This window comes from Homo sapiens, chromosome 11 (genome assembly GCF_000001405.40).
Source record: "Homo sapiens chromosome 11, GRCh38.p14 Primary Assembly".
Taxonomy (NCBI): domain Eukaryota; kingdom Metazoa; phylum Chordata; class Mammalia; order Primates; family Hominidae; genus Homo; species Homo sapiens.
The window spans coordinates 96,208,734-96,235,340 of NC_000011.10; the positions used below are offsets into that span (position 1 = coordinate 96,208,734).

Sequence of the window (26,607 nt, forward strand, 5' to 3'; positions counted from 1 at the left end):
GAAAAAGAACTCAGAAGGTCAATTATTAAGCTAATCAAGGAGGCACCAGGGAAAGGTGAAGTCCAACTTAAAGAAATTAAAAAAAAATCATACAGGATATGAATGGAAAAATCTTCAGTGAAATAGACAGCATAAATAAAAACCAATAACAACTTCTGGAAATGAAGGACACATTTAGAGAAATGTAACTTACCAGTTTGTTAACAACTCGATGTGTCAGTTATCTGTTAAGAGTTTTCAAAATGTGGTCCAGAAGACCTCCTGCATCAGAATCATCAAAGTGCTTGTTAAAATGCAGTTTCTCAGTCTCCTTCCAGAATGATCAAATCAGAATCTATGAAGTACCCCTAAGAATTTGCATTTTTGTCATCTTCCCAGTTTGATTACTTAAGTGTGTGACAAAAGACATAAGGGGTTAGTGCTCCCAGGGATATTTACTTGTTCACAGAGAGCAACCAAAGACTTGAAAACTTTGAAAACCTGTAACTTTTTTTGGGTGGGGGGTGGGGGGGCAGTCTTTTGGGACAAGGGTACCTTCTTCACATCCCTCAAATTTTATAATAAAAGCAGCTCCATCTTCATCTACTTATGCATTGGACTCTAGGGATCAAATATCAAGAAAGGCTGGGTGCAGTGGCTCACGCCTGTAATCTCAGCACTTTAGGAGGCCGAGGTAGGTGGATCACTTGAGGTCAGGAGTTCGAGACCAGACTGGCCAACCTGGTAAAAACCTGTCTCTACTGAGGCAGAAGAATCGCTTGAACCTGGGAGACGGAGGTTGCAGTGAGCGGAGATTGGCGCCACTGCACTCCAGCCTGGGTGACAGAGTGAAATTCCATCTCTAAAACAAACAAACAAACAAACAAACAAACAAAAAAGCAAAGTATCAAGAAAAAAATAATTGTATTCTTTATTGGTATCCTGTAACATACTGTATTGGGCAGATATTCTGAAGATAATTAACCTGGGCATTATAAAATCTGTAGGCTCCTTTAATTGTAATTATTTTGAGTGCATTTCCACTTTAACAGTGCCACGAAACTATCGATTATTTTGTAAATTACCCTCCAGCAGGAAAAGAAAGAAGAAATACAGTTTAATTTCTTATATCAAGCAATAGACCTCAATATCTCCCACTATGCATGGAATAGTTAAGAATAGTTTAATAATATATTAGTGGTCATTTCTGGAGGCATACTTTACGGTGAATGTTCAAAATTTTGATAGAAAAGCAGACTTTAAAACAAACTGAAGTGGTGGATTTAGACAATCAGTAGTTAACAATACCTAACTTCAAAGATTCTCAGTTAATTTTGCTTTTCTTTTGTTCTCAATAATGACTACAAAATGTGCCTTACCATTTTATTTTATTTTATTTTTATTATTTTTTAAGACGGAGTCTCACTCTGTCGCCCAGTTTGGAGTGAGTGCAGTGGCACAATTTTGGCTCACTGCAATCTCCACCTCCTGAGTTCAAGCGATTCTCCTGCCTCAGCCTCTCAAATAGCTGGGATTACAGGCACCCGACACCACGCCTGGCTAATTTTTGTATTTTTGTAGAGATGGGGTTTCACCATGTTGGCCAGGCTGGTCTGGAACTCCTGACCTCAGGTGATCTGCCCACCTCGGCCTCCCAAAGTGCTGGGATTACAGGCATGAGCCACTGTGCCCACCTGCCTTATCATTTTAGATATGTCCAAAACACAGTTTATAGAAATTTACCAAATGATTTATCAGTTACTTACTAATTAGTATAGAATTGAGATACCTAAAAGGTATTCATTCATTTAATATAGAACAACACATCAGATCTATGTTCAAACAGCTCTAAAACTTGTTAAGTCCTCTGACAAGTCAATCACTCTTTCTAAGAATTATTTACTCATCTGGAAAACAGGAGTAACAAGAGGAACTGTGTCAAAGAGATATTGGGGGGATTAAATTATGCATATGATGTACTTAGCACAGCACCTAGCATAGAGCATAGAGTAAGTGCCCAATAAATGTTACTATAAATATTATTAATATTTTCTTATCTCTAAGCATAGTGTTCAACAATTAACTGCATACCATGATACTTTTATAAAACCAATATATAGATATATTGTTCAACTTTTCACACTATTTTACTCTATAGCATATGTGAATATAATTGTTAATTATAAATTCCAAAATTTGAAATTCCTTTGTCTCTTCCTTTTCTGTGGCTTCATATATGCACTACTTCCATAAACTACATGTGAAGCTGACATTTTTCTGTCCATTTATTGGACTACATTTAGATTTATATCCTTACCTATCTTTGGATTTTATATAATAATCAGAAATTTGGAGTCAGATTACCTTATGTATAATGGTTAACTTTTAAAGAAATTTAAGTGGATTAAAGTTAAATAAACTTTAGAGAAACCTAAAAGTCACAGAAGCCTTAAAGGTACATACATATTTTTAAAATCCTAATTTTACACTGTTAGCATCTTGATGTGATATCAACACCATTTATGAAGACACTCTTTGTTAATTAGTTTATGGGGTGTTAGGTGAATTATTCAGTAAATGGTTATCAAAAATCAAATATTTAACTATAAACATTGAATGATAAACAATATTCCTCTGATCTTAATAATTGTCGTAAGTACATTACTTCAACAACTATTTACTGAATTCCTTTTGAGTGGAAGACATTGTCCAATGTGATAGGGTCTTTGAAATTAAAAAAAAAAAAAAAGAAAAGCCTGTTATCCAATTTGATGAGCTCAAAGTCTGTTGGGTGAGACAGATGTAAAAAGATATCATAATATAAAAATAAGAATGAAATACTGACTTGCAGGGGCCCAAGGGGTAGTTGTAAGAGAAGGGAAGATCAGAGGTATGGGGGCGTCTTTGAGGATGTCACACATCTGATGTCAGGCAAGTACTTGAGGAAATGTGACAAGTTTATTGTAAATGAATCACAGGGGCCCACAGGGTACCTAGTGGAGCAGATGGAAAGGGGTTGGAGCTCTAATCCTGGAAATTGCTAATATATTACAATAGTTTGGATTCGTCTTTAAGCACTAGTTGAGGATCTAACATTTTTCCTAATAGAAGATCAACAAAGATAAAATTCAGTTTTGAAAGTTATCTGTGGCAGAATACAGAGGGAAGATTAGATAGAATGGAGAGAACTAGGCCACAGAGAAAAGTTAGGAAGCTATGGTGAAAAAAGATGAGTGCTGAACTGACGCAACTGTATCAGTAAAATAGGAAAGCGATGTGCTGGGTTCAAGAGATATTTCAAGATAAAATAAAAATGATTTGAAAACTGGATAGATATGGAACTTGGGCAAGGAGCTGAGAATGCTTGATTAATTTAGGCTATAAAAGGAAGACAAAGTGTGTGTGTGTGTGTGTGTGTGTGTGTGTGTGTGTGTGTGTGGAAGGGGGACTCGTAATCTCATTTGTGGATACAATTTTTGAAGTACCTGTGGGAAACAGGCAGAGATATTCAAGAGGCAATGAGATCTGGCAGTTAAGTGAGAAAGTTAAGTTAAAGATAATGGATTTAGGAGCCAGTGTCAGATAGATGGTAACTGAGGACACAAGAGTGTCTGCGATCACCGAGAAGAGCAGGCAGAATCAAAGACAGACAAGGACAGATCCTAAAGAATGTAACACATTTAAGGGTTTACCCAGGAAGAGGATCCAGCAAAGAAGGAGCAAGTAGAGCAGAGAGAAGCAAGAGGCAATCTGGAAGGCAAAGTAATGGCAAAAACTGCAATGACTTATGCACCAACTTAATAGTAGAGAAGATTTTTTAGGAAGCAGAGATTGTCATCATCTTATCAGTCAGCAGCAGTGGGTGAGCCTCCTCTCAAGAGACAAGGCTGCTAACAAGGAGTTAATTCACTGTCACCACCCTTTCACAATCTCTAGTAGAAGTGCTAGCAGAAAGAAAATAGTCCCATGATAGAGACGGCAGAAGAGAGAAAGAAGGAACAAGACGTTTAGATAACTCATAAATGAGTCATCAGTCCATAAACAAGAAAAAGTCAGCAATGTGACCATTCCTTCTGACATAAAGGAGCAAGAAGACCTCTCAATTAAAAAGAAGTCTTCCTAAGAATTGAGGCAACATGGTAATTTAAGCAACATTGAATCTCTGCAGGCAAATTGCTTGGTATAACTCAAAAATTATTGATGAATGAACTTGGGTAAGACACTCTACCAGCCAGGGCCTCGGTTTCCTCATCTTACAATTAGGAGGAATGGGTAACATAAACTCTATGAGCCTTTTCAACTCAAGCATACCAAGAGCCCATCTGGTCCTCACAAGTATCATATGTGGTAGGAACTATTTTTAGCCTATTTTACAGGTGAGGTGACCAAGATACAGAGAGTTTAGAAAACTGACCCACACAGGAAAAGAGTAGAAAAGCTAAGTTTTGAATTTGGGGCTTTCTGACTACAAAGCCCATGTGCTACAGGACCCCATTGGAGCTCTTAGAACTTTCAAAGTACTTCAGCATTCTTCCTATTTTAAAAATGTGAGGCTATGAGGGAATATGGATAGGTATTGCTACCTGCACAACAGGTAAAGAAACTGGGAATTTACCTACAACTATACGCCCAGTAATGGAGAGCCCTAATTCAGGTCTCCTAATTCTACTCTACTTTATGATCTTTTAAAGACCAGTAATTACATTACATTAACAAACACTAACCTTGAGACCAAATTTAACATCTTGGAAAGAAACCACTGTTACTCTTATAACTGTATAAAATATCCTTTCTTTCTAGAAATCATAGCATCCCATATGGAAGTAAACTATCTGAGATTCTGCCTTAAGAAGTGTAGATGGCAGTTTAAGTATAGCCCTCTAAAAAGTAGCAGCTTTTCCTACATCATCTTACTAGTTAATCTTCCTGGGAACGGGCTGATATTTACTCATCCCAGGAGACCACTGAATTGTCTGGACTCCAAAAGATACCAAGGATAAGGTTTTAAGTTCCCCACCATTAGTCATCACTTGGAGAAAAGTGACAGAGCTCTTTACAGATGCATTGCCTTGTCTTTGCCCTTAAAATTAACAATTTTCAATGAATTTAAATTAGGAAAAGTCAGTAAAGAGTGCCCTCCCTCCCTTAAAAGTGGTCGGTTCCCTGGGTAAGATGTGAAATACTTGGCAGTCTCCAGACGACAGGATCAGATAGGCTAACAATGAATTTGAGAGCTTGCAAAGAAAAGTTAGACAGAATGGATCAGGTTAAAGTGGACACAAATGCCCAACTACAAATTCTAATTATTTTCCTTCCCACTCTTGGAACAAAGAGACAATTGTAAAATATATTTTGTATGTATATATACACAAATATACATATACATATATACAAATAGTGAAAGTATCTCCTATTATTGATGCTCAGAATTTCTATGGAATATAATATATGTGCAGTTTTAACAGTTGAATAATAAAAAATGAATACTTCCTTAGAACTAGGATATAGCTAATTTCTAATATAGGTCTTTTGAGGCCATGCCTAGGTTATTCTGGTAAACTGATATTGTGGAGAAAACGTTTTTGAGTCACGAAATTCTGGATTCAAATCTTAGCACGTCCTCTTAGAGCTCTGTAGATCCAAGTTACGTAACTTTTCAGAGCTTCAGTTTTCAAAACATCTGTAAGATGGAGGAAAGAACACCAACTTTTGGGGGTTCTTATAAAGATTAAATGTGATAAAGAATGTAATCTCTCTAGAACCTTTAGTTCTCATTTCCTTTATTGCCTCCTATTCCTTTGGTGATCATGTACAACAAAATAGGAAACACTTGCTGATGTTGGTAAACCATGAACTCAACTCCAAAGCAGGAGGTTTAAATAACCAAGAAAACTCCAGGAACTGATGCCATTATTTTCCTAATGAGAAGCACTTATAGTCATGCGAAATACACCACACACTTACTTCTAGGTCATTGGCCAACATTTTTGTCCTGAGTGGCAGTGATTGGCTACTCACATTACCCTCTGAAAGCAGCTCTATTTTAGTAGAAGTTGTCAAGTAGCTGATGTATGCTGAAAACTATAGAAAGTCACCCTTTCCTCAAGTTCTTAATTGCATCCATTTGTTTAAAAATGCCAAAAATGCACATGCTCTGACCTTTCTGAGATTTGAACTCAGATCCAGTGAGGAAGTAGAGGCTGAGGATTAGGAAAGAACCATGTGTCTTTGGAAATTGGCCATGTGCCTCGTCTAGTTGACCTTGGATACTTGAGATTGGGTCCAGTGGTTCCCTCACTTTCTTTGCTTCACAAATTAAAAAGATCTAGCCCATAAGAGATGTCTGTGTGTCCATTTCTTGCACTAGGAATATGGGAAAGCTGCTTAAGAAACTGCTGCTTGCAGCTCATGAAATCATGAGTCATTTGTGTAGTAAAGTGAATTGGCCACTTACATTTGTACAAAGTTGAAAAGAGGGTGGGCTGGGGAATGGGGTAATTCCAACTCAGAAATAAATCATCTGAGTGGACTGTATGCCCCTTGAAATGCTGGGGCAGGTTGCTGGGTTCACAGAGAGCAGGTCCCCAGCACTGACATCCTTCCAAGTAACAAATCTTCATCAAGGCCTCACGACCTCTTTAACACCAGCATATAACACAGAAGATTTCAGATCATAGTGTGCTCTCTCTTCCACTTCCTGTTATTTTTAATTCTCTGCTTTGTTTCATGTTTTTAAAAGTCTTTACTAACACTTCTAGGGGCAGCTTCTGAATGAGACAGTGGCCAGTAATTTCTCTGACGAATACACATTGTTGTCCCCTCTTTGGGGCTGAGGAAATCCGAGGCAGGAAATGGTCAGTGGCTTGTTCAGTGTGGTGTAGAAAGGTAGAGACAGACCGACCTCATGAGCAGTTCACCGGTTAATTAAGCCCACTGAACCCTGCTGCCACCTGGAAATGGGTCCTGGGCTCGTTCCTGCACTTCCTCCTCCACACCTGCAGCTGGGCAGAGCCCAGCTGCAGCCACCCCCCTCGGGTGCTGGCTGCCACTGCTTTGGCTGGTTGTTCCCTCTCTTTAACCCATTTCTTTTCACTCTTGGACCTTTTATCCTTTTCAGTCAAATGATAGATCCAAGTCCAGAAATTACAGAACAACAGATTGGAACAACAAAGGCAATGAGAATGTCTTTCTAGCTTTCTAAACTTAGGCCCCCAAAGACTTCCAAACACATTTCAAAAAATTATTATCTAAAAGCACAGGGGAACAAGTTTAAGGCTGAGACATGTACTGCATATTTTGAGACAGAGTTACATACTCAATTTGCTTAAAAAAAAAATAGAGTATTTAGTATCATATTTGCAGAGTCACATGTCCCAGTCCACAGGAACTACACAAACTGTGTCTTCAGAAGTTGGTAGTTGGTAATCTCTTTTAGGCATGCTTAAACCAGAAGAAGAAGATGTAAAATTGGACACAGGAAAAAGATTCTCAGTGTTGCACAGAGGGAAGAACCAGGAAGATCTTAGCCTACTCCTCAACCTAAACCCTCCATTCATACTTGGCCTTTTCTTTTCAGTCTGTAGTTTGACTTTTCTGCCCTAAAGTCTATGGCCCTGATGAACTCCCAGGAAGAGGAAGCCACTGCTTTCTTCCATTTTAATGCCTCTCTTAAGTCCCACCTCAAATTTCACCTTTCTCATAAGGCTTTCCTCAATTCTTCCCAGAGAATTTTACTTCACTTCTCTTGATTGCACCAATTTTTATTGTTGGTACCATTAAATTTGTAGCTTTACATGTAGACATTTTGGAAGTTTTACATGGGTATGTCTGGTCCTGGTATTCTATTTATCCATACTGCCCCAGAGTGTCCAGGCCATGGTGCACTCCAGATTACTTGTAATAAAATGCTTATGGATCATTTAGGTATGCTGTGTATTACAGACACTCTGTTCTGAAAATGAAAAGCAGAAAGAGACTCAGTCCCTGTTCTCAGGAAGCGTGCAGCCCATTGAGAGAAGAAAGCAGGGAAGCAACTGATTAGAAGCCAACGTAATGTGTTTTCTCACAGAGGGTGTGAATTCAGGGCTGGAGCAACACGGTGCAGGGGCATCCAACTCTGGGTAGGACACTGGGGAGTAGAAGTCAGGGTGACTTTTGAATTGAGACTTGAAAAAGCAAAGGTTCACCAGGAGACAAAGGGCAGGGGTAATTCCACCAGGGGCAGGAGGAGGTGCACAAGCAAATAGGTATGTAAGAGGCCATGAAGCAAAGTATTCAGAGAATTAGGAATATGACTGGAGACCAGGGAGTGTGAGAGCAGGATGGTGGGGATGTGGAATGAAGAAGCAGACCAATATGTTCGAATTCAGTGGATGCATAAGCGCATCCAACATACTTTGCTCAGTGCTCATTACATGTTACACTGCTGTTCCTATTAAAGTATAACAAGTATTTGCTTAGCTATTTCACAATTGATCAATTTTTACTAGCTCCATGTCACTGGAAATATTTCCCTTGATCCTTGCAAATGCAGTGAAGGAAAGTGAGAATGCCACTCCTGTGCATTTACTAAAAGTAACTGCACAAGCGCAAATGCACTGTCCATCTAAATAACCAAAAATATAATAGGACATGGTGACTGTCACTCCACGGTGCTGTTGATACAGTTCACACAGCACTAGATGCTGCCCTGCACTGTTTCCACTTATAGCGTGGTATGTCAGTAGACTCTATGAGACACCATATTTAGATTCCATGCTTCAATCCAGAGAACACTGTCCACCGATAATTTATTCGAGCATCTTCCTTGACTGTGTTATCTGTGTTTTTGCTCTATGGTTTCCTATTTTACAGACCCAACCTTTAAGTCCTTCTCTCTTTTTGACAGTAGAAAAGAATAAGACAGGACAGAGAAGCTTGTAGGAGTAGGTGAAGGTGAATAATGGTTGGCAACTTTCTAGTTGATCATATACCTGAGAATACATTACCCTGATGGAGTGAACGCCTTTTGAAACCACAGCTTCGTTCAGATATGTTATTAGTATTAGATTTTACTATGTAGCCACTGCATTAATTTAGCATCATCGTCTTGACCATTCATCCTTAAAAGTATTAACCCAGTGTAATTCAGTACTTCTTTGGTAAACCTTCCATAGGAAGATTACGACAATTTTAGTGATTATGAACTATCTAGGCTTAGCAGATGCTGGTAATCTATGGGAATCATGACCTGAAAGGATTTATGTCTAAATGTGATTTAAAATCCCCCCTTCAAGACTCCAATTTACCTTTCATGCTTTGCATTCTCTCAAAGTACATTTCTCTGCAGAATACTTTTTCCTACTAAATGATTCCAGGCAAGCTTGATATTACATAGGTAAATACATTTGCTTTCTGCGTCGAGGTACTTGTACTAATTCCAAGTTGCTTTGAAAAATGCACTAGAAAAAACGTTTGGTGTGCCTTTTGAATTTTTCCACAGCAGTGTCAGTGACAGAAGGCAGCTGTAACGCAGCTGTAACCCTGGCTTTGACTTGGTTTAAAGGCTGATATTTGACTCCAACTCCAAAAACAATCATCATTCTTATAATTCAATCCTAAGGCACCATGCATCCTCGGTGAACCCCACTTAATTGTCATCTTTAATAGGGGCACTACTTGGAAATCCAGTTTTCAGCATGTCTTTTTTTATCCTCAGCGTACACAGCATGAAATGCATTTTTATCTTGATGCAGAGCAAGTGACTTACTTGGGTCAACTGACTACTATTTTAAGGCCAGAATTTCTTGAATAAATAAAGTATAAAAACTCAGAGATTTTTATATTATTTCCACAAAATTACTTTTGTGAGGTAACTTCCTGCCCCATTGGTCTCATTTTAAAATGGAGCATATTTTATGGGAATGTATAATACTGACACTTTTTCTTTTTGTTTTTTAGTTTATTTGAGGTCTTCACATAGAAGAGTATTTATGTATGCCAAAAAATTCAAATCTCAAAATTTTCCCTCCAATTCCTGACTGGGTAGGTTGCCAAATAAAATGTAAAAGCCCAGTCAAATTTGAATTTCAGATAAATAACAAATAAGTTTTTAAAAGTTATAAGTATGTCCCATGGAATATTTGAAACATACTTGTACTGAAAGATAATTCATTGTTTATCTGAAATTCAAATTTAACTGAGCATTTTATATTTTTATTTGCTAAATCTGGCAACCCTATATCTGGGGGCACTTGAATTATGATCAGAAGTACATTATCTCCAGATTGTAGGTCTGCAAAATTCCCAAAGGACCATTCTTTTCTTGGGTATGTGCAAAAGTGGAGACTGTCCCACCACGCCATTCCCAAAGGCCCCTGGGGCCATCCGGCTCCGGGTCTAATGGATCTAGACAGTGGAGATTAACCAGTCCCTTCTTTAAAGTATGTTAAAAAGCTTTAAAACAACATAAATAAGGCCCTTCACATACTGGGCACTCAATGTATTTAGGTTGAAATCTTTGATGTTCATTAGTGCCAGTCAAGATGAGGACAGAGATAAAATATGACATCTTAGAAACCATTCCTGTACATGTCTCACCTTTCAATCTAAGCACTTTCGGATTCTTCAAAAACCAGCTATAATTCCACCTTGTTCAAGAGGCCTTCCCAGATCACCTCGGGCATGAGTTCTTTGCCACCTCAACTCTCCAGCATTTATCGTTTATACAGTTCATTTGACGTTTAACATATTTTGCTTAATATGTTAACCATCTTTTCATTTATACATTCTTTTAGGAAAAACATAGATAGTAGAAGCCTTGCACCGTGATTTACAGCATGAGCCTAGGAGTCAGACCAATTTTGGTTTCCAATGCTGCCCTGTCCTGTCTGAGCTTTGTAACCCTGAACAAACATCTTTTCTGAGTCTCAGTTCATTATTATTATTATTTTGAGACAGGGTCTCACTCTGTCATGTAGGCTGGAGTGCAGTGGCACAAGCTCGGCTCACTGCAACTCCACCCTCCTGGGTTCAAGTGGTTCTCATGCCTCAGCCTCCTGAGCATTTGGGATTACAGATACCTGCCACGATACCCAGCTAATTTTTGTATGTTTAGTAGAGATGGGGTTTCATCATGTTGGTCAGGCTGGTCTCGAACTCCTGACCTTGTGATCTGCCCACCTCGGCCTCCCAAAGTGCTGAGATTACAGGTGTGAGCCAACATACTCAGCCATCAGTTTATTATTTTTAATCCCTCAGTAAAATGAGACTATTTCATCATGTTGTATTAAATGAGTTGATGCATGTATAGTGTTAACTCTTGGGAAACACAAAGACACTAAATGGTGGCATGTTGTTATCATTGCCATGATCTTTATATTAATATTACTATCTTCTTTTAATCTCCCACAGTGTCCATGCGTTATCAGGCCCTACGTGAATTGATCAAAGGATCTTTGCCTGAGAGTTGACAGAGGCTCCAAATTCCTTGCTGTCTAGAGAAGGGGGTGGGGGAACACTGCCTGTAAACAAATGAGTGACCCTCCTTCACTCTCTTAGGGTACAGATTTCATTCTCTTATTTCTCTTTCTCTGTGCTCCTTTAAACCTGCAGATTTAAGCCACTGCCTTGTGCTCTGCTTGGGATTATGTGAGAAGCAGGAAAATTTCAACTGCCTTAGAGATTTGTTTCCCTAGTGGCACCGGACATGGTGAGCCCTCCTGGGACTCAGAGTCAGCACATGCTTCCTGCCTTACTCTTTATTGACTATTTGCTGCCTCTTTATTTTTTTCTAAGTCATCAGTGAGGAAGTTGCATAACTTAAAAGCTAAGCTAAGTGGGAGTCTGTTTACTGCAATCTGGAGTCATACATATTATTTATCTTCTTTGCAAGTTGTTACAAAATGCAATGTAAAGTGTTCTTATACATGCAGAATTTTTTTTGTCATCCTTGGGTATGCATGAGCTTGAGTTTTTAACATTTTATTTCTGGTTGTATTATAGGTAATAGAGTAACTTGGAAAAAAGTACAATTTCCTTAACAGTCAGACATAGATTTAAAAAAATACAAGTTTCAAATACATCCTCTGAAACCTCTACTGGATTTTTCAAAATAGCAAATTCAAAATCTTTTATATAAAAAGTGAAAAAAAAAGCATCATCAAACTGAAAGGAGGATGCCTTTCTGGGTTGTTCATTCATCAGGATAATATCTGTAAAACTCTAATCTCTTGGAAGACTCTGGCTAAAACAAATTCATTTTTGGATCAGTACCCAGTGCCTTTTTCATAACAGGTATTCAATGGGCATTTGTTGAACCAACTAATGAGAAAGTATTTATTCAACAAGTATTTATTGAGCACTGAGGAGATGTATTACTATAAAATAAGTTCACAGTATATAGTGTTATTAATACTATGGTCATTAATTAATAATAATTTCACCACCACAACACTGTAATGCAGCCTCCAGAAAGCCAGTGACATAAACTGGAAGTTTGGGTGACAGAGTTTACAGCTTCTGATTATTTAGACTTAAAGCAATTAGCCTTGCTGTTCCCACTGTTAACCACAGAGAAGGACATGTTCCCAAGTTTCCACCTATTCACTTCTTGATTAATAACTTTAAAGTCATTCCAAACCTATCAAGACTCAGAGATAGCGCTGGGCCTTTCCTGTAGTGTGGGGTTTGTCTTCAGGAACAAAATCCCACTTCTGCAGCCTGCAGTGTGACCCATCTGTTTTGTATCCCCTGTCATTTTGGGAACAGTGTAACACTGTGGAGGCCAGGCTATACCCGAGGTTAGAGACCCCACCTTTAAAATTATTACTCTGGGGAAAGCAGGAAATATTGTTTCAATCATAAGGATAAAATATGGACAACTATGAACCACTTAAGAAGTTTCATAGCAGTTGCCTTCAACCACAAAACCAAAATCAGTATTGAGCTCTTTGCTTCTGCACAGTATAGGGAAGATGTGAGTGGCAGTTCAGTCAAGCTTTTTTTTTTTTTTTTTTTTTTACTGTTCTCTGGACCTGATTTTGCACTTGAAAATTTCCAAGCTCTCAGAGTACTTCAGTGTTAATAGAAAACAGCTAAAATGTTGCCACATTTGCAGATGTGGCAGATGTGAGCAGAAGAACAAGGTCAGCACACATAGGACCAGGTCTTGGTACAGCAGGAGCATGTGGAGTTTCCAGAACTGCTTTCAGGTGTTTCTACTCTGTACGGTTTTCATTCCCTATTTCCAATACATCATCCCCTGTGTTTCACCTCATTTCCTCCCAGTTTCCGTTTCTACTTTGTCATATATTAATTTGGACCTTTGTAATCTTTGGTTTCCTTCTAGTGGAATCTGGTGATTTTATTAAAACCAGACCAACGAGAAAATGTTTCCAGGTAAGTCTTCAGGCTGGCAGCCTCTCTTCCAATATCATCCCGGTCCATCAGCTGAGCCTGGTAGGTAATCCCACTGTTGCAGACTGGAGGCTTACAAATGCTGCTCAGGGATAGCACTATGCTTGAAACATACGCCTTGTGCTTTAGAAGCCATGAGTTCCATAAGCGCACGCTGAATATGTTTATTAAAGGACACGTGGTCCCATGGAATGTGGCGCTCAGCACTGCACAGCACTAGCAGTCACCCTGAACACTCACTGTTGTCAGTAGCACCATCCAGACTCTAGTGCAGACACCTCTCCATATCCCCTGCTTTGTGTCTTGGAAGCCCAAGGTGGCTTCTTTTGAGGCTGGATTGTGATGCTGCCCATATCAGAGAAGGACACTTCTTTAGAGAGCAGGGAGGAGTTGAGCAGCAGAAGCACTCAGTTAAGAAAAAGACAAATTAATTAACTTGTCAAGTCTTTCCTCTCAGCACGAATGCAAGGGATAATGAGATATCATTTCCCAGGAGTGCCAAGCTTCCATTTTGCTACTTCTTTTCATGTTCTAATTCGATGCTCCAGAAGTACTCACCTATTACCTTGATAACCCCAAAAGTTGCATATCGTGGCCAAAGAACATCTTGTAATATTAAACAATTCCTATGGCCCTTAAAGTTAAATATATGCAGGTCTAGTAGTGACTAGTGTGCTAGGGATTCTTTGGTAATTGGATCACCATTGAACACTAGAATTACTACCAGTTTTATTTTTATAAAAATATTTAATGTGATTTAAATTTTCAAAAAATATAATTTGTTTCATTTAAATAATTATTTGAATGTTATATTCATTAGTTATACTTTGAATTTTGCCTTTTTTCCCAGAAAACTGAAGATTTTAGAAGAAAACTTTTAGTAGCACAAAAGCTAACCTTTAGTTTTGGATTTTTATTTTTACTTTACATTTTTGATGAAAATAAATTCAAATTGTGTGTACTTTAATATTACACTTCATTTTTAATACTTTAGAATCTAATATTTAGATCATTACTGTCAATAGAAGACACGTTATATGAAAACTGTCATTATAACAACATAATTAGGGAATTGCAGAAATGAAAGCAAAAATAAATTTTACAGATTAAGTAATAATATATTAATTATGTATGACCTAATTTTATTACTCATGGAAACATCACCAACCCCACAACAGAATATTCAGATGTACACAATAATGATTACAGTCATCATGGACATTTTGTTGACTTCAAGAATGACAGCTTTCCATATATTTTTCAATTTTGTCATTATCAACATTTATTTGTCAAGGTAGAAAGACAAAGCATATTTTACTTAACCATTTGTTAGCCTATTTATAATGTTTAATATTTAGACACATAGTATGTAGGCTTTCATTTGTCTTGCCCTGAGTCCTAAAAATGTTAGAGGGTAGATCCAGCCAGGTATTTTCTTTTTTTTTCTTTTTTTCTTTGATTGTCATTTTTTTTAACTTTTATTTTAGGTTTTTGTGCAGGTTTGTATTATATATAAAGTGCATGTCACAGAGATTTGTTGTACAGATAATTTCATCACCCCAGTAATAAGCATAGAACTCGATAGGTATTTTTTTCGGATCCTCTCTCCGCTCCCACCCGCCATACCCAGGTAGTTTCCTCTTTCTGAGGCTTATAGTAGTACTGTTCTTCTGAACTACTGCCTTAAGATGATTAGTTTAGGTACAACACAATTGGGTTTTTTCCCAAGCTATGGAATGTACTCTCTCAATTTGTAGTTTGTTTTACAGATAGGGATAAAAGTGTAAGAGACAGCAGCACTGAATTATTTGATATTATAATCAGTTTCCCAAAGTATTTTTTGACAATCTATGTGTATGATTTAATATGCTCCCATATTTTATGCATAAGGGAAAAGAGAGATACATTATTTTATATTATCTTTGGAGTTAGACAACCCTAGATCTGACTTGTCATTCTGCCACTCACTAACAGGGTGACTTATTTCAACTATTTAAGCCTCAGTTTCTTTATCAGTAAAATGGCACTTAAAACACCCACACCCAGAAGGTTTACAGTCAGTACAAGAAAATACATGTAAATTACTTAGTAGATAGTAAATATAAAATAAATAGTTATTAGTAGTACAATGATCCACATTTTAAAATTCCTAAAGTACCAGTCTATTTATTTACTCAATAACCCTCCTTTTCAAACACTCTGATAACTCTCCACTGCCCAAGGTGTGCCTTGTTACCGTATTCAAGGGGCTCCAATATATCCTTCCAACCTTAAATTCCAACAGTGCCCCAACCCCATGACTACTGTCCCTGGAGATCTATACTTTCCTACCTCTATGCCTTTGCTACCACAATTCTATCTATTTGAATGGCTGTTCTTCTTCCAAGGCCCAATTCAAGTTCTTCCAAGATGTCTTCTCATCTTTCAATGTTAATTAACTTTCTTCTCCTTGTGCCCCCATAACACCTCCTCTGTAGCTCTCTCACAAAACTCAATACAGTGAGCTTCATATCATATTAAGTTTTGTGTATGTGTCCATCATCTCTGTTATACTCTCAGCTTCTCTGGGACAGATTATATCTTTGTCACCTCTGCATAAGTGTATCCCCTTCCCAGAGCACATGACATAGTAATTGGCACAAAGTAGATGCACATAATGTTCTTTACTTGAATTTGTTGAATCTACTTCAGAGGAATAAAAAGAAAATAAAAACAAAATTAGGTCATTATTTGGATTCTTCAAGTACTGGTGATTCTTGTTTTCATGGTTACAAGGATTTTTGTTTTTTTTCAAAATGACATTATTTATACTTTAAGACAGTTAGCTAATTTCCAGGAAAAGCACTTTGTCTAAAAGCACTTCTTATTGACAAATTGAACATTGTGATACATTGCACTACTTTAGAAAACATGCAATTCATGTAAATACTCTGGGGGAGTTTCAATGTTTAGGTATTTTAGTGTTTTCAAATCTCTACAAATTCTTTGCTATTCCTCTTTTCAGAAAAGGTGAAAACTACCTTCTTCCTGAGTGCAGGTTTGACTCAGTGACCAGCTTCTAAGGAACAAAATAGAGGGGAAGGAAGTATGGTGTGCAACTTTGGAACTAGGTCATAAAAGACCATGCAGCTTAATTTTTGCTTTCTCTCTTTGATCACTTGCTATAGGGAAGCCAGCCACCATGTCAGGAGGACAATTAAACTGCCCTACAGAGAGGCTCACATGATGGTGTCACCTGTCAACAGCCTTTGGAAGCAGATCTTCCATCTCTATTCATGCTTCAGATGATAGCCCCAGCATACAGCTTGACTGCTACCTCAGGAGAGACCTGTACCAGAACCACCCAGCTAAGTTGCTCTCTGATTCCTGACTCTTAGAAAGCATATGTGGTAATAAATGTTAATTAATTTTGAGGTAATTCATTATTCAGAATAATAACCATGGCCAGGCATGGTGGTTCACACCTGTAATCCCAGCACTTTGGGAGGCTGAGGTGGGTGGATCATTTGAGGTCACAAGTTCAAGACCAGCCTGAGCAACATGGTGAAACCCGGTCTCTACTAAAAAATACAAAAATTAGCTGGGCGTGGTGGCGGATACCTGTAGTCCCAGCTACTTGGGAGGCCGAGGCAGGAGACTCACTTGAATCTGGGAGGCGAAGGTTGCAGTGAGCCAAAAATGGGCCACTGTACCCCACCCTGGGTGACAGAGCGAGACACTATCTCAAAAAAAAAAAATTAGATAACCAATACAGATTGTACAGAGATCGTACGAGCATTCTCATTGTAGTTATTCATAGTTTTAAATCTATGATCATTAATGTCCAAGGTAGCAAGGAAATTTGAGCTGGTTATCAAAAATTGTAATCTGGAACCCACCTTTAGTTGATCACCATTCATTCAATTAATTACATATTTAGCAAATACTTATTGTCTCCTATCAGCCAATCACTATGCTACATCTTAGAAATACAAAGACAAATAAGATATGGTGCATGTTTTTAAAGGCTCAATATCCTAGTGTTCCCCACCACAGATAGCATGGGGATTGAATCTGAGGAGGCTTTATTGCCTAAAAAGTTATTTAAGAATGATTTTATGTCACAGGGAAAGAATTTGGGTGGAATTCAAGAAAAGACTCTGGGCCAATTACAGTTTTAGCAGGTAAGGTCCCAAACAATGCCAGACCAGACAAACAGCTTCAGGCTTTGAAACTAAAGACAGTGGTCTCAGGTTGTGTGACAAATAGAATTCTATGCAATGGCCTGTCTGTCTATATAGTCTCTCACACATAAGAGCAATCATTGCCAATAATGCCATCCTCAGGCATGAAGGACAGTGACATTAATGGGAAGAAAAATATTCCATTAGTAAAACATCCCCTAATTAATTCTAATCTGTTCCCTGGAAAAGCTGCTCTAGAGGAAAGATTTTTTTTCTCCACATGCCAAACTGCCAAGCATTACTTTGGAAAATTTTCCATTTAGTTTCAAGGAATATTAAAATGTTTCACTTAGCAAAAATTAGAAATGAATCTATTTCCTAGCTCATATTATATATAAAGATAAGATTTTTACAGACAGTGTCAATTCTTAATTGAGCATATCAGCTAAAAGCAACTAAATTCTATTAGTCTCTGAATTGACATTTATTATTATTCTTATTCTTTACTATAAAAATGCACTTAAGTACCTAAACTGCATGCCATCTTAGAAACTGTGATACAGCAATGACAGATGTAGCCCTTATTCCCCTAAAAACTTTAAATTTGTCAGATAAAATTAGCAGAAAACAAACAAATCAAAACTGCATAAAATAGAATATCTTCACATCAATTCATTAGTGAAACAGTAAAAAATGTTACGTTCAATGGAGGAATATGAAACACAACAAAAGTGACAAACCAGTAGCTACACTATGCCTCAATAAGTATTCACAGAATCAGCAACATGTCAAGCTGTCTCCTACCTCGGGGCCCTTGTACCTGCTAGCCTTTCCCTACCCAGCAAGTTCTCTCTGCTTAGCTATCATGTTAATCCTTCAGATCTGAAAGCATGTGCCCCTTTCTTCGGGAAGTTCTCCTTGACTCCCTAAAATTATATCAAGTTTTCTGACTCTCTAAACTTTCCTTAATATCACTTATTATAGTTCATAGTTTCCTTCTAATAGGTATATACTTACCCTAGTACCTACGCATAATCCTGTAGTGATCCATTCCTTAATATTGCTTTTCATAGTTCACAGTTATACATTTATGTGATTATTTCATAAATAAGTCTCATTCACAGCTATACTGTAAGTTTCATGCCAAGAATGCAGGGAGTGGTTCTCTCATCCTCCTGTTTCAGCCCAGTGCCTGGCACACTGTGGTTGCACAATATATATGTGAATAAATGAATAAATGAGCAGTATAGTATGTGTTCAGAGCATGAGCTCTGAAGTTAAACATATTTCAGTACAAACACCATAATCTCACTATCCAATTATGTGACTTTTGACATAGTTTGCTCCTCTCTGAGATTCATTCAGTTTTCTCATGGGTAAAATGGAAATAATAATAATAGTAGTTTCCTTATATGGTTGTTGTAAGTTTAAATGAGAAAAGGCATACAATGTGTTTTGCTTAACACCTGGCAGAGAACAAGTGTTTATTGTTGTTGCTGCTGTTATTATTTATGTCTCTGTCGCCATCGAATGAAATCATTACAAACTCGGCCAGGTGCAGTGGCTCATGCCCGTAATCCCAGCATTTTGGGAGGCCAAGGCAAGCAGATCGCTTCAGCCCAGAAGTTTGAGACCGGCCTGGCCAACAAAGTGAGACCCCTGTCTCTACAAAAACTACAAAAATAGTGGAGCGTGGTGGTGCACACCTGTAGTCCCAGCCACTCGGGGGGCTGAGGTGGAAGGATCACTTGAACCTGGGAGGCTGAGCCTGGAGTGAGCTGAAACAGTGCCACTGCACTCCAGCCTGGGGGGAGAAAAAGGGAACACTACAAACTCAATTCTCTCATATTTTTTTCTTCTTGTTCAGGAAGGTGGGAGAGAAAGTACTGATTGAGTCTATCTCTGATGAGCTTCTGGACAGCCCAGTCTTGGCCACATCGGGTTTCCAGACATTTTTGCTGCCTGGCTAACTCCCCATGGCATCAGCTAACTTCAATCACTCCCTCCAGCCATCACCAGGCTGGATTCTTGGTTTCCTATTACTATCTAGAGGTAAAGCTCTTTAATTTATCTTGCTTTTCTCCTTCATGCTAGCACCCAGTTCCTAGGATATGACACTGTGTAGAGCTAGGTCAGAAGAGAAATGAAGTCACACTCAAAAATGGTTCCACTTTTCCAACTTCCAAACACTTTCCCCAAGTCAACCATGTACATACACCTTGACTTTCCTCTCAGGATGACTTCCTGCCACAACTAATGGAGTGCCTGGCTAAAAATAAACAAATAAAATAAGAAGATGGCCGCTGTCCACCTTCCATTGGGACATTTTACTTTTGAGAACAAACATTTAGTCACTGAAGCTGAGGAAGTCCTCATTCAAGGACAGGGTTTCCTTGCTCAGTCGGCCAGACCAGACCAGACAAGCCTCATGCGCCTGAAGGTCCTGGCTCCTGGACCCTCACTGTATTTATAAAGTCTTAACAGAGTGACTGTGAATTCCATTGTGGTGATGCTGCCTCCGGCTGGCAGATGGCCATGGTTTCTAGACTTCATAAGCAATTTTGAGGCCTGCAGATATGGGCATTGAGAGCACTAGGCTCTCCTTTACATATCTATGTTCACGCGGTCTCTTGTAAAGTTATCTTTGACATATTTTAAACTTATTAGTTGTTTTCTGAAAATGTGGCTACTTCTAGTTGAACAAAAAAAAAATGCTCCCTAGTCTCTCACCTCCTGAGGCATAGCTTTGTAGAACAATCTATAGAAATAAAGAGCTTTTAGGAAGTTCAGGGTTGAAACAAAGAAAAAGAAAGTTGTTTCTCAGCAGAAAAATGCAACAAAGCCTTTCTTCTTACCAAATAACTTAAGAATGTCTGAACAAAAACATCCCAAACCTGGCTAGTGCCAGAATTTCTCAGATAAGTCAAGAGAGGGGAAAAACACAAATCACACCCCAAACCACCAAGAGATGAATGAATGGCAAAAAGAAAACAATACATAATTTAAAATGTTGTTAAACATTTAAAGAAGTAAATTGTAACCATTTTCTAGAACAGCAATTATACGTAAGAGTGTTTTCTAATTAATTTTCTTCTGAAAACAATTGGTGAGATCCTGCAGAGATTCCCTCTCTTCCCCCAAGGCCTTTCACACCCCTGGAGCCCCAGGAAGCCCTCTGAATCTCCACTCTCTACCTACCTAGAGGATCCCTTACCAGATACTACCTCGTGTGTCATGTTGTAAAGCATTTCTCACAATGTGGCTAGTCTTTCTAACCAGACTGCAAGCATCCTAGATACAGAAATATAATCACATGATCTCCCCAGAAGCTACCATGGTGCCTTGACTACATATCGATTGATTCATTTAAGAATTTCTAAATGTTTTCTTCAAACCAACAGAGAATAAAAATCTGAATGAGTACTTCATTGCATTATACCAGTATAAAAGCAGAACTGGCAATACCATAAATTTGAAATTACTCACATTTTGAGGAAATTGTAGACTCTTTGGGCTGCAGAGAAATATCATTGCTTGGTGCTCACTCTCACATAACATTCTGTCTTGCAAAATACCAGACAGATATCAAAAGCAGGAAGGTGGGTGTGGATATGGAAAACAGAAATCAATTTGCAGTATTTTGGTATCCTAGAACCAGTGAAACTTTTTCTTACACAGAAAAGTACTATGTTTGGTATGCAAATATTATTATTAAACTTAACACCAGTTGTTAAGTTTTCAGAATTGTTATCCTCAATAGGATAAGCTGAAAATTGAAACAGCTTTAAGAAAAAACATTTAACGAAACGTGGGATGTTTAATGAAAAATTTCCCACAATATGACTGTCCCTGGTCCCATTTTTAGAAAGAAAATCCTGAGCTATTTAGAATATGGAATGATGAATATGGATAGACCTGGCTAGTCTAGAATAGTCTAGGATAGAATATGAGTATGATGATGACAACATTTGTGCAAAAATTTTCAGTTTATAAAAATACATCAAAATTCATTAATACCTCTTTCAAAGATTTATATGTTTTGCTCATTCAAATATTTGTATATATCTATATATATTTGTACATCTTGATTCTCAATTTAAATGCATTACTTCACTTACTGCTCTTTTAAGGATTTATACATATTCTTTTTTCAATGATTTATACACAGTGCTTTTTGATGTAGGCAAATGAAGCAGCTGAAATGTTAGAAGAACAAGGTTGTAACTTAACTACTTTATAGCATCCTATATGCAGAGTTGAAGACTAGACATACTAGCTCCCTTTCTTCAAATGGGTAAACGAATACACAGAAATGTTAAATAATTTACTAAAATGTATGTAGGGATGACTGCCTCTTGAGTTTCCTGATTTCCAGGACAGCCCACATCAGATTATGTTGATTCTTTTCTGGCCAGTCTGAGACCTATAGAGTCCCAACGTTCTCTGATTTCATCCATACCTATCTTTGGAAATAGTCCTCAGGAAATGAGGGAACAATACGAAGCCTAATGTGCTGTGATGTGTGTAGAATATATTTGACACTTGTCTCGCTAATTAAAACTCTACTTCTCTACCCAAATAGCGGTGTTGTAAGAGATCATCACACTCACTTCTGCATTTCCTTCCTTATTTAATGTCCTCATGGTCACATGAGATGACTAAATGCTCAGGTCCTGAGCTACATTTCCATGTTTAGTAAATCAGGAAATAGTGAAAGATATGTCTTGTGACATTTTCATTCCAAACTTAGACTAGGCATGAGTATTTAATGACAAGCGAATAGATGTGAATGAGAAAGAGGTCAAGATTTGAATAATCTGGATTGGTATCTAAAATAATTTATAAGAAAAAATCATATATAGGGGGTTTTAATAAATATATTTCTCTCTATATAAAAACTCTCCTGATTCCCACAGGTAAAATTATTTCCTCTTTCGTGTATCACCATCTGTAGCCCTCACAACTCCGAAAACACTTTATTGTACTAGTTTTACACACCTGTCTTTTAAATGTAAAGTCTCTACAGAAAGGAAATGCGTTGTATTGATTTCTGTATTCCTATTAACTTGAATAATACTGAAATACAGTAGATGCTAAATATGCTTGTTTCATAAATGTGGGATAAAATAAATGTTTCTGTAGCCTACGCCATTAAGGATTTTATACTGGAGCTGGGAGATAATCAATCACGTAATATTTAGTGGTACCTACTGTAGGATGTAAAGGAAGACGACAATGAGATGCACCCTGAGGACTTGGGAATGGCAGAAATGAGATTGTTCTACATACAAGAGAGGGATTTTTGTAAAACTCAACTGAAAGAGAATAGGACTTGACTGGAAACTGCCGACTATATTTAAGACCTTATGAAAAACAAATGTATGAGTTGGAAAGAGAGTTGGTCACTCATGGGAACAATGAGAGAGCTGCAGAGTAATCCTCCAAGTAAGCACTTTGCCAGGACAGTAAGCAGTCAAGGAAGCACTGTCCACTATCCAAGCTCATCGTACAGAAGGACACTACCTACCCAGTCTTGTGGGCAGGAATCTCCTTAGGTTAAAAAATATGTCACCAATCTTCTTGTTCTAATCCTTAAACCTGTGATTCACCTGACTAGTCGCTTTTGCCTTGATTCCATGCTCACCAAGAGTTCTGATGCCTCTAACTAAACTCAAAGAGCTCACCTGAAGGTACCTGAGGACGTAGGTGTCTAGTTATGCTAGATAGGGATATTTTATTTTGAAAACTAATAAATTAGAATCAATCTGATGAATCCGAGGAAGATGAGTTTGCCTCTGGCTGATGTAGTAACATGTGGTATCCTGCCATTCACATCACTGTGCTTGTGAGTCTGAGGGGCAAATTTAGATCCCCCCAAGATGATTCCTCCCTATGGGTACTTGTGGTCTTCCCTAAGCATCACGTCTTTGGCTCCTCCATGAGCCACGTGCCTTTTCTTCAAACGGCTGCACAGATTATGTGCGTAACACTATGCTTTAAACCACTAGAGAGTGATCCAAGAGAACATATAATTAAGTGAGAAATTGTTTGGCATAAACTAAAAGTGCTACAGAAATTCCGAGAGAATAAGGATCACTGTGGTGGGCAATTATCCAAGGAGAGCTTCCTAAAGGCCTATGGTGTTAAGAGGGAACTTGATGTCTGGGTAGGATGTGGGTGGGTGGAAAGAAAAGGAAGGCATTTTTTTTTTTTCTTTGAGATGGAATCTCACTCAGTCGCCCAGGCTGGAGTGCAATGGTGCGATCTCGGCTCACTGCAAGCTCCGCCTCCCCGGTTCATGCCATTCTCCTGCCTCAGCCTCCCGAGTAGCTGGGACTACAGGCGCCCGCCACCACGCCCGGCTAATTTTGTTTGTATTTTTAGTAGAGACGGGGTTTCACCGTGTTAGCCAGGACGGTCTCGATCTCCTGACCTCGCGATCCGCCTATCTCAGCCTCCCAAAGTGCTTAGGATTAGAGGCGTGAGCCACCGCGCCCGGCCAAGGAGGGCATTTCTAAGAGGAGAATGTGGGTTCACAGATATGGAGGCCAGAATGCTGGACCGCATTGCTGAAGTATTAGAACCACAAATTGGGCCAACATACTCTCTTACTTCCTTCAAAATGAAACCTGAAAATTGATGAGAAAAGTAAGAAATCAGCCTTCTTATTTAAGCCCTGATCTGTGAGCATGAGTAAAACAAAATAAAATAAAATGAATCCCAATATCCTATCATGTGTCTAGTTTGAGAGAAGGATATTAACACTCTAATTATTTGCTCTTAAGACCAATTTTTTAAAGCTGTCACTAATGCAATGAAAACATTTACACAAACTTCTAAAGCAAACAAAGAAAAAACAATATCTGTCACCAATAGAAAAGCAAGTTTGAGTGCTAGAGTACAATAAATTATTTATTATACTGATACTGGATTTGTTCTAGAGACTAACATGACCACAGGAAAGGAGGCTTTACTAAATAATTCCTAGTAAAAGAAACTTTTAAATAATTTTTCTTTCATTCACTCTAAAAAACAATCTTCACAGATAGATAAAAGTATTATCTTTAAAAATGCAACATTTATGTCAGGAAAAAAAACAGACATTCATGTGTTTTCCCTACTCTTAAATTCTTTTTTTTTTTTTCTTAATTTAAGATACAGTGTCTTACTCTTGTTACCCAGGCTGGAGTGTAGTGGTGCAATCATAGCTTACTGCAGGCTTAACCTCCTAGGCTCAATCGATCCTCCTGCCTCAGCCACCTTAGTAGCTAGGACAATAGGTGTACACCACCACATCCAGCTAATTTTTAAATTTTTTGTAGAGACAGGGGTCTTGCTGTGCTGCCCAGGCTGGTCTCAAACTCCTAGTTTCAAGCTATCTTCCTGCCTCTGCCTCCTAAAGTGCTGGGATTACAGGCATAAGCTACCATGCCTGACCCCCATTCTTTATAATACCTTGGCATATGGGAGATGAAGGAAATAGAAAACAAAATGATTTTCTCCTAGGCCAGTTGTGATACATCACCTCTTTCACCTGCCGTGTAGTTGGTATTCAGTGTTAGAAAAAGGAGTGAAGTGAATGAAGAAGAACAAGAGGAAGAGATGAAACAGAAGAAGCGAAGAAGTAGTCTGCACCTGCTCAGAAGAAGTGGTGGCCAGGTGGGCCTCCAAAATTAGAAATCCAGCCCTCTCTCCATTTCTTGCCTCAGTCAGCACTGTCTCCATCCTATGTCTTTCCATCCTATATTTAAGTCTTGCTTCTGGATTAAGACTGGCAAAAACAATATACTTCCTAAAGGATCACTTTTCAAACATTTATGCATATGGAATAGCAGAACCCTGTATGTGTGCCCAAGTGAGGGTACGCTGATCTAACTCCAATATACCTTGAGACATTGAACACACCAAGCAGTTAAAATGGGATAACAGAGCCAGGCATGGTGGCTCACACCTGTAATCCCAGCACTTTGGGAAGCCAAGGCGGGCGGGTCACCTAAGGTCAGGAGTTCGAGACCAGCCTGACCAACGTGGAGGAACCATGTCTCTACTAAAAATACAAAATTAGCCAGGTGTGGTGGCACATGCCTGTAATCCCAGCTACTTGGGAGGAGGAGGCAGGAGAATCACTTGAACCCGGGAGGCGGAGGTTGCAGTGAGCCGAGATCACGCCATTGCACTCCAGCCTGGGAAACAATAGCAAAACTCCATCTCAAAAAATAAATAAATAAATAAACACATACATACATTTTAAAAATGGGATAGCAGATTTTAATTCCAGGACACTCAGTCACCAATGTAGGTATTCCATTTGACTCACTCCCAGAGATGTCTCTCCCTCTCTTTCTGTCTGTCTCTTTTTCTATCTGTATCTCTATCTTTCTCACACACACACAAGCACACATATGCATGCACATACTTGCAAAATTAAAAAACACCTTCAAGCTTTCTTTATGGTCCAAGAGGAATTTTGCTGTACAAATATGGTTGCCTTTCAGGAAAACTTAACTTCATTTCCATTTTTTAACTTCTGTTAAGCCACAACTCTGGAATTGTGTTTCTGAAAAAAAGATACGTACTTAAATTTTTTAAGAGATAAGTGAACAATATCTAACACTGATAATGGAACACCCTGTTGTGAATGCATTCAACTTCTAAAAGGAATATAGAAACATAAATCTTTCACATTTAAGTGGAACAATGGTGACACAAAGACAATCCTGAAAAATGACTCTTCAATACTTTGAAATTCTCATAAACAACCTTTTCTCAAGAAGGCTATAAAAAGAGTCAGTTTTGCCTGAGTCAGAGCAATTTTAGCTAATTAATAGCACCCTCTGGACCTATGAAAAATTGACATTCTCCATAACAGACCAAGTTTGGGATGTGGCTCATAAAGAAGCTCCCAACGAGACTTCCATGCTTATTTTCTCCTTTAGATCCAGAGCAAACATCAGCAAACTATGACTCAAGGGCCAAATCTGGCCTGCAGGCTGTTTTTGTAAATAAAGTTTTATTGGAACATAGACACACTCTTTTGTTTATGTATTGTCTATGGCTGCTTTTGGGCTCC

The 26,607-nt window shown here is 38.3% G+C and overlaps 1 protein-coding gene across 3 annotated transcripts in view, besides 1 other annotated feature; it reads right to left on the reverse strand.

Annotated features, from left to right (window-relative positions):
* Window positions 1-26,607, reverse strand: part of MAML2 (mastermind like transcriptional coactivator 2) — a 366,598-nt gene that overhangs the window by 232,136 nt on the left and 107,855 nt on the right. Inside the window, exon 1 of one of the 3 annotated variants that reach the window (XM_011543023.4) lies at window positions 21,024-22,077. The exons of 1 other annotated variant lie outside the window; for it this stretch is intronic. In XM_011543023.4, coding sequence (XP_011541325.1) covers window positions 21,024-21,095 — 72 coding nt within the window. In that variant the 5' untranslated portion in view covers window positions 21,096-22,077. Of the gene's footprint in view, window positions 1-193; window positions 22,078-26,607 lie in introns of those variants that run through there. One more of the 3 variants, XM_047427710.1, reaches the window with a different exon arrangement.
* Window positions 6,677-6,746: an enhancer, noted in NCBI's record as "active region_5422". NCBI's record gives its function as "activates an Ori minimal core promoter by ATAC-STARR-seq in GM12878 lymphoblastoid cells {active_cell/tissue: GM12878}" and the evidence as "EXISTENCE:reporter gene assay evidence [ECO:0000049][PMID:35858748]".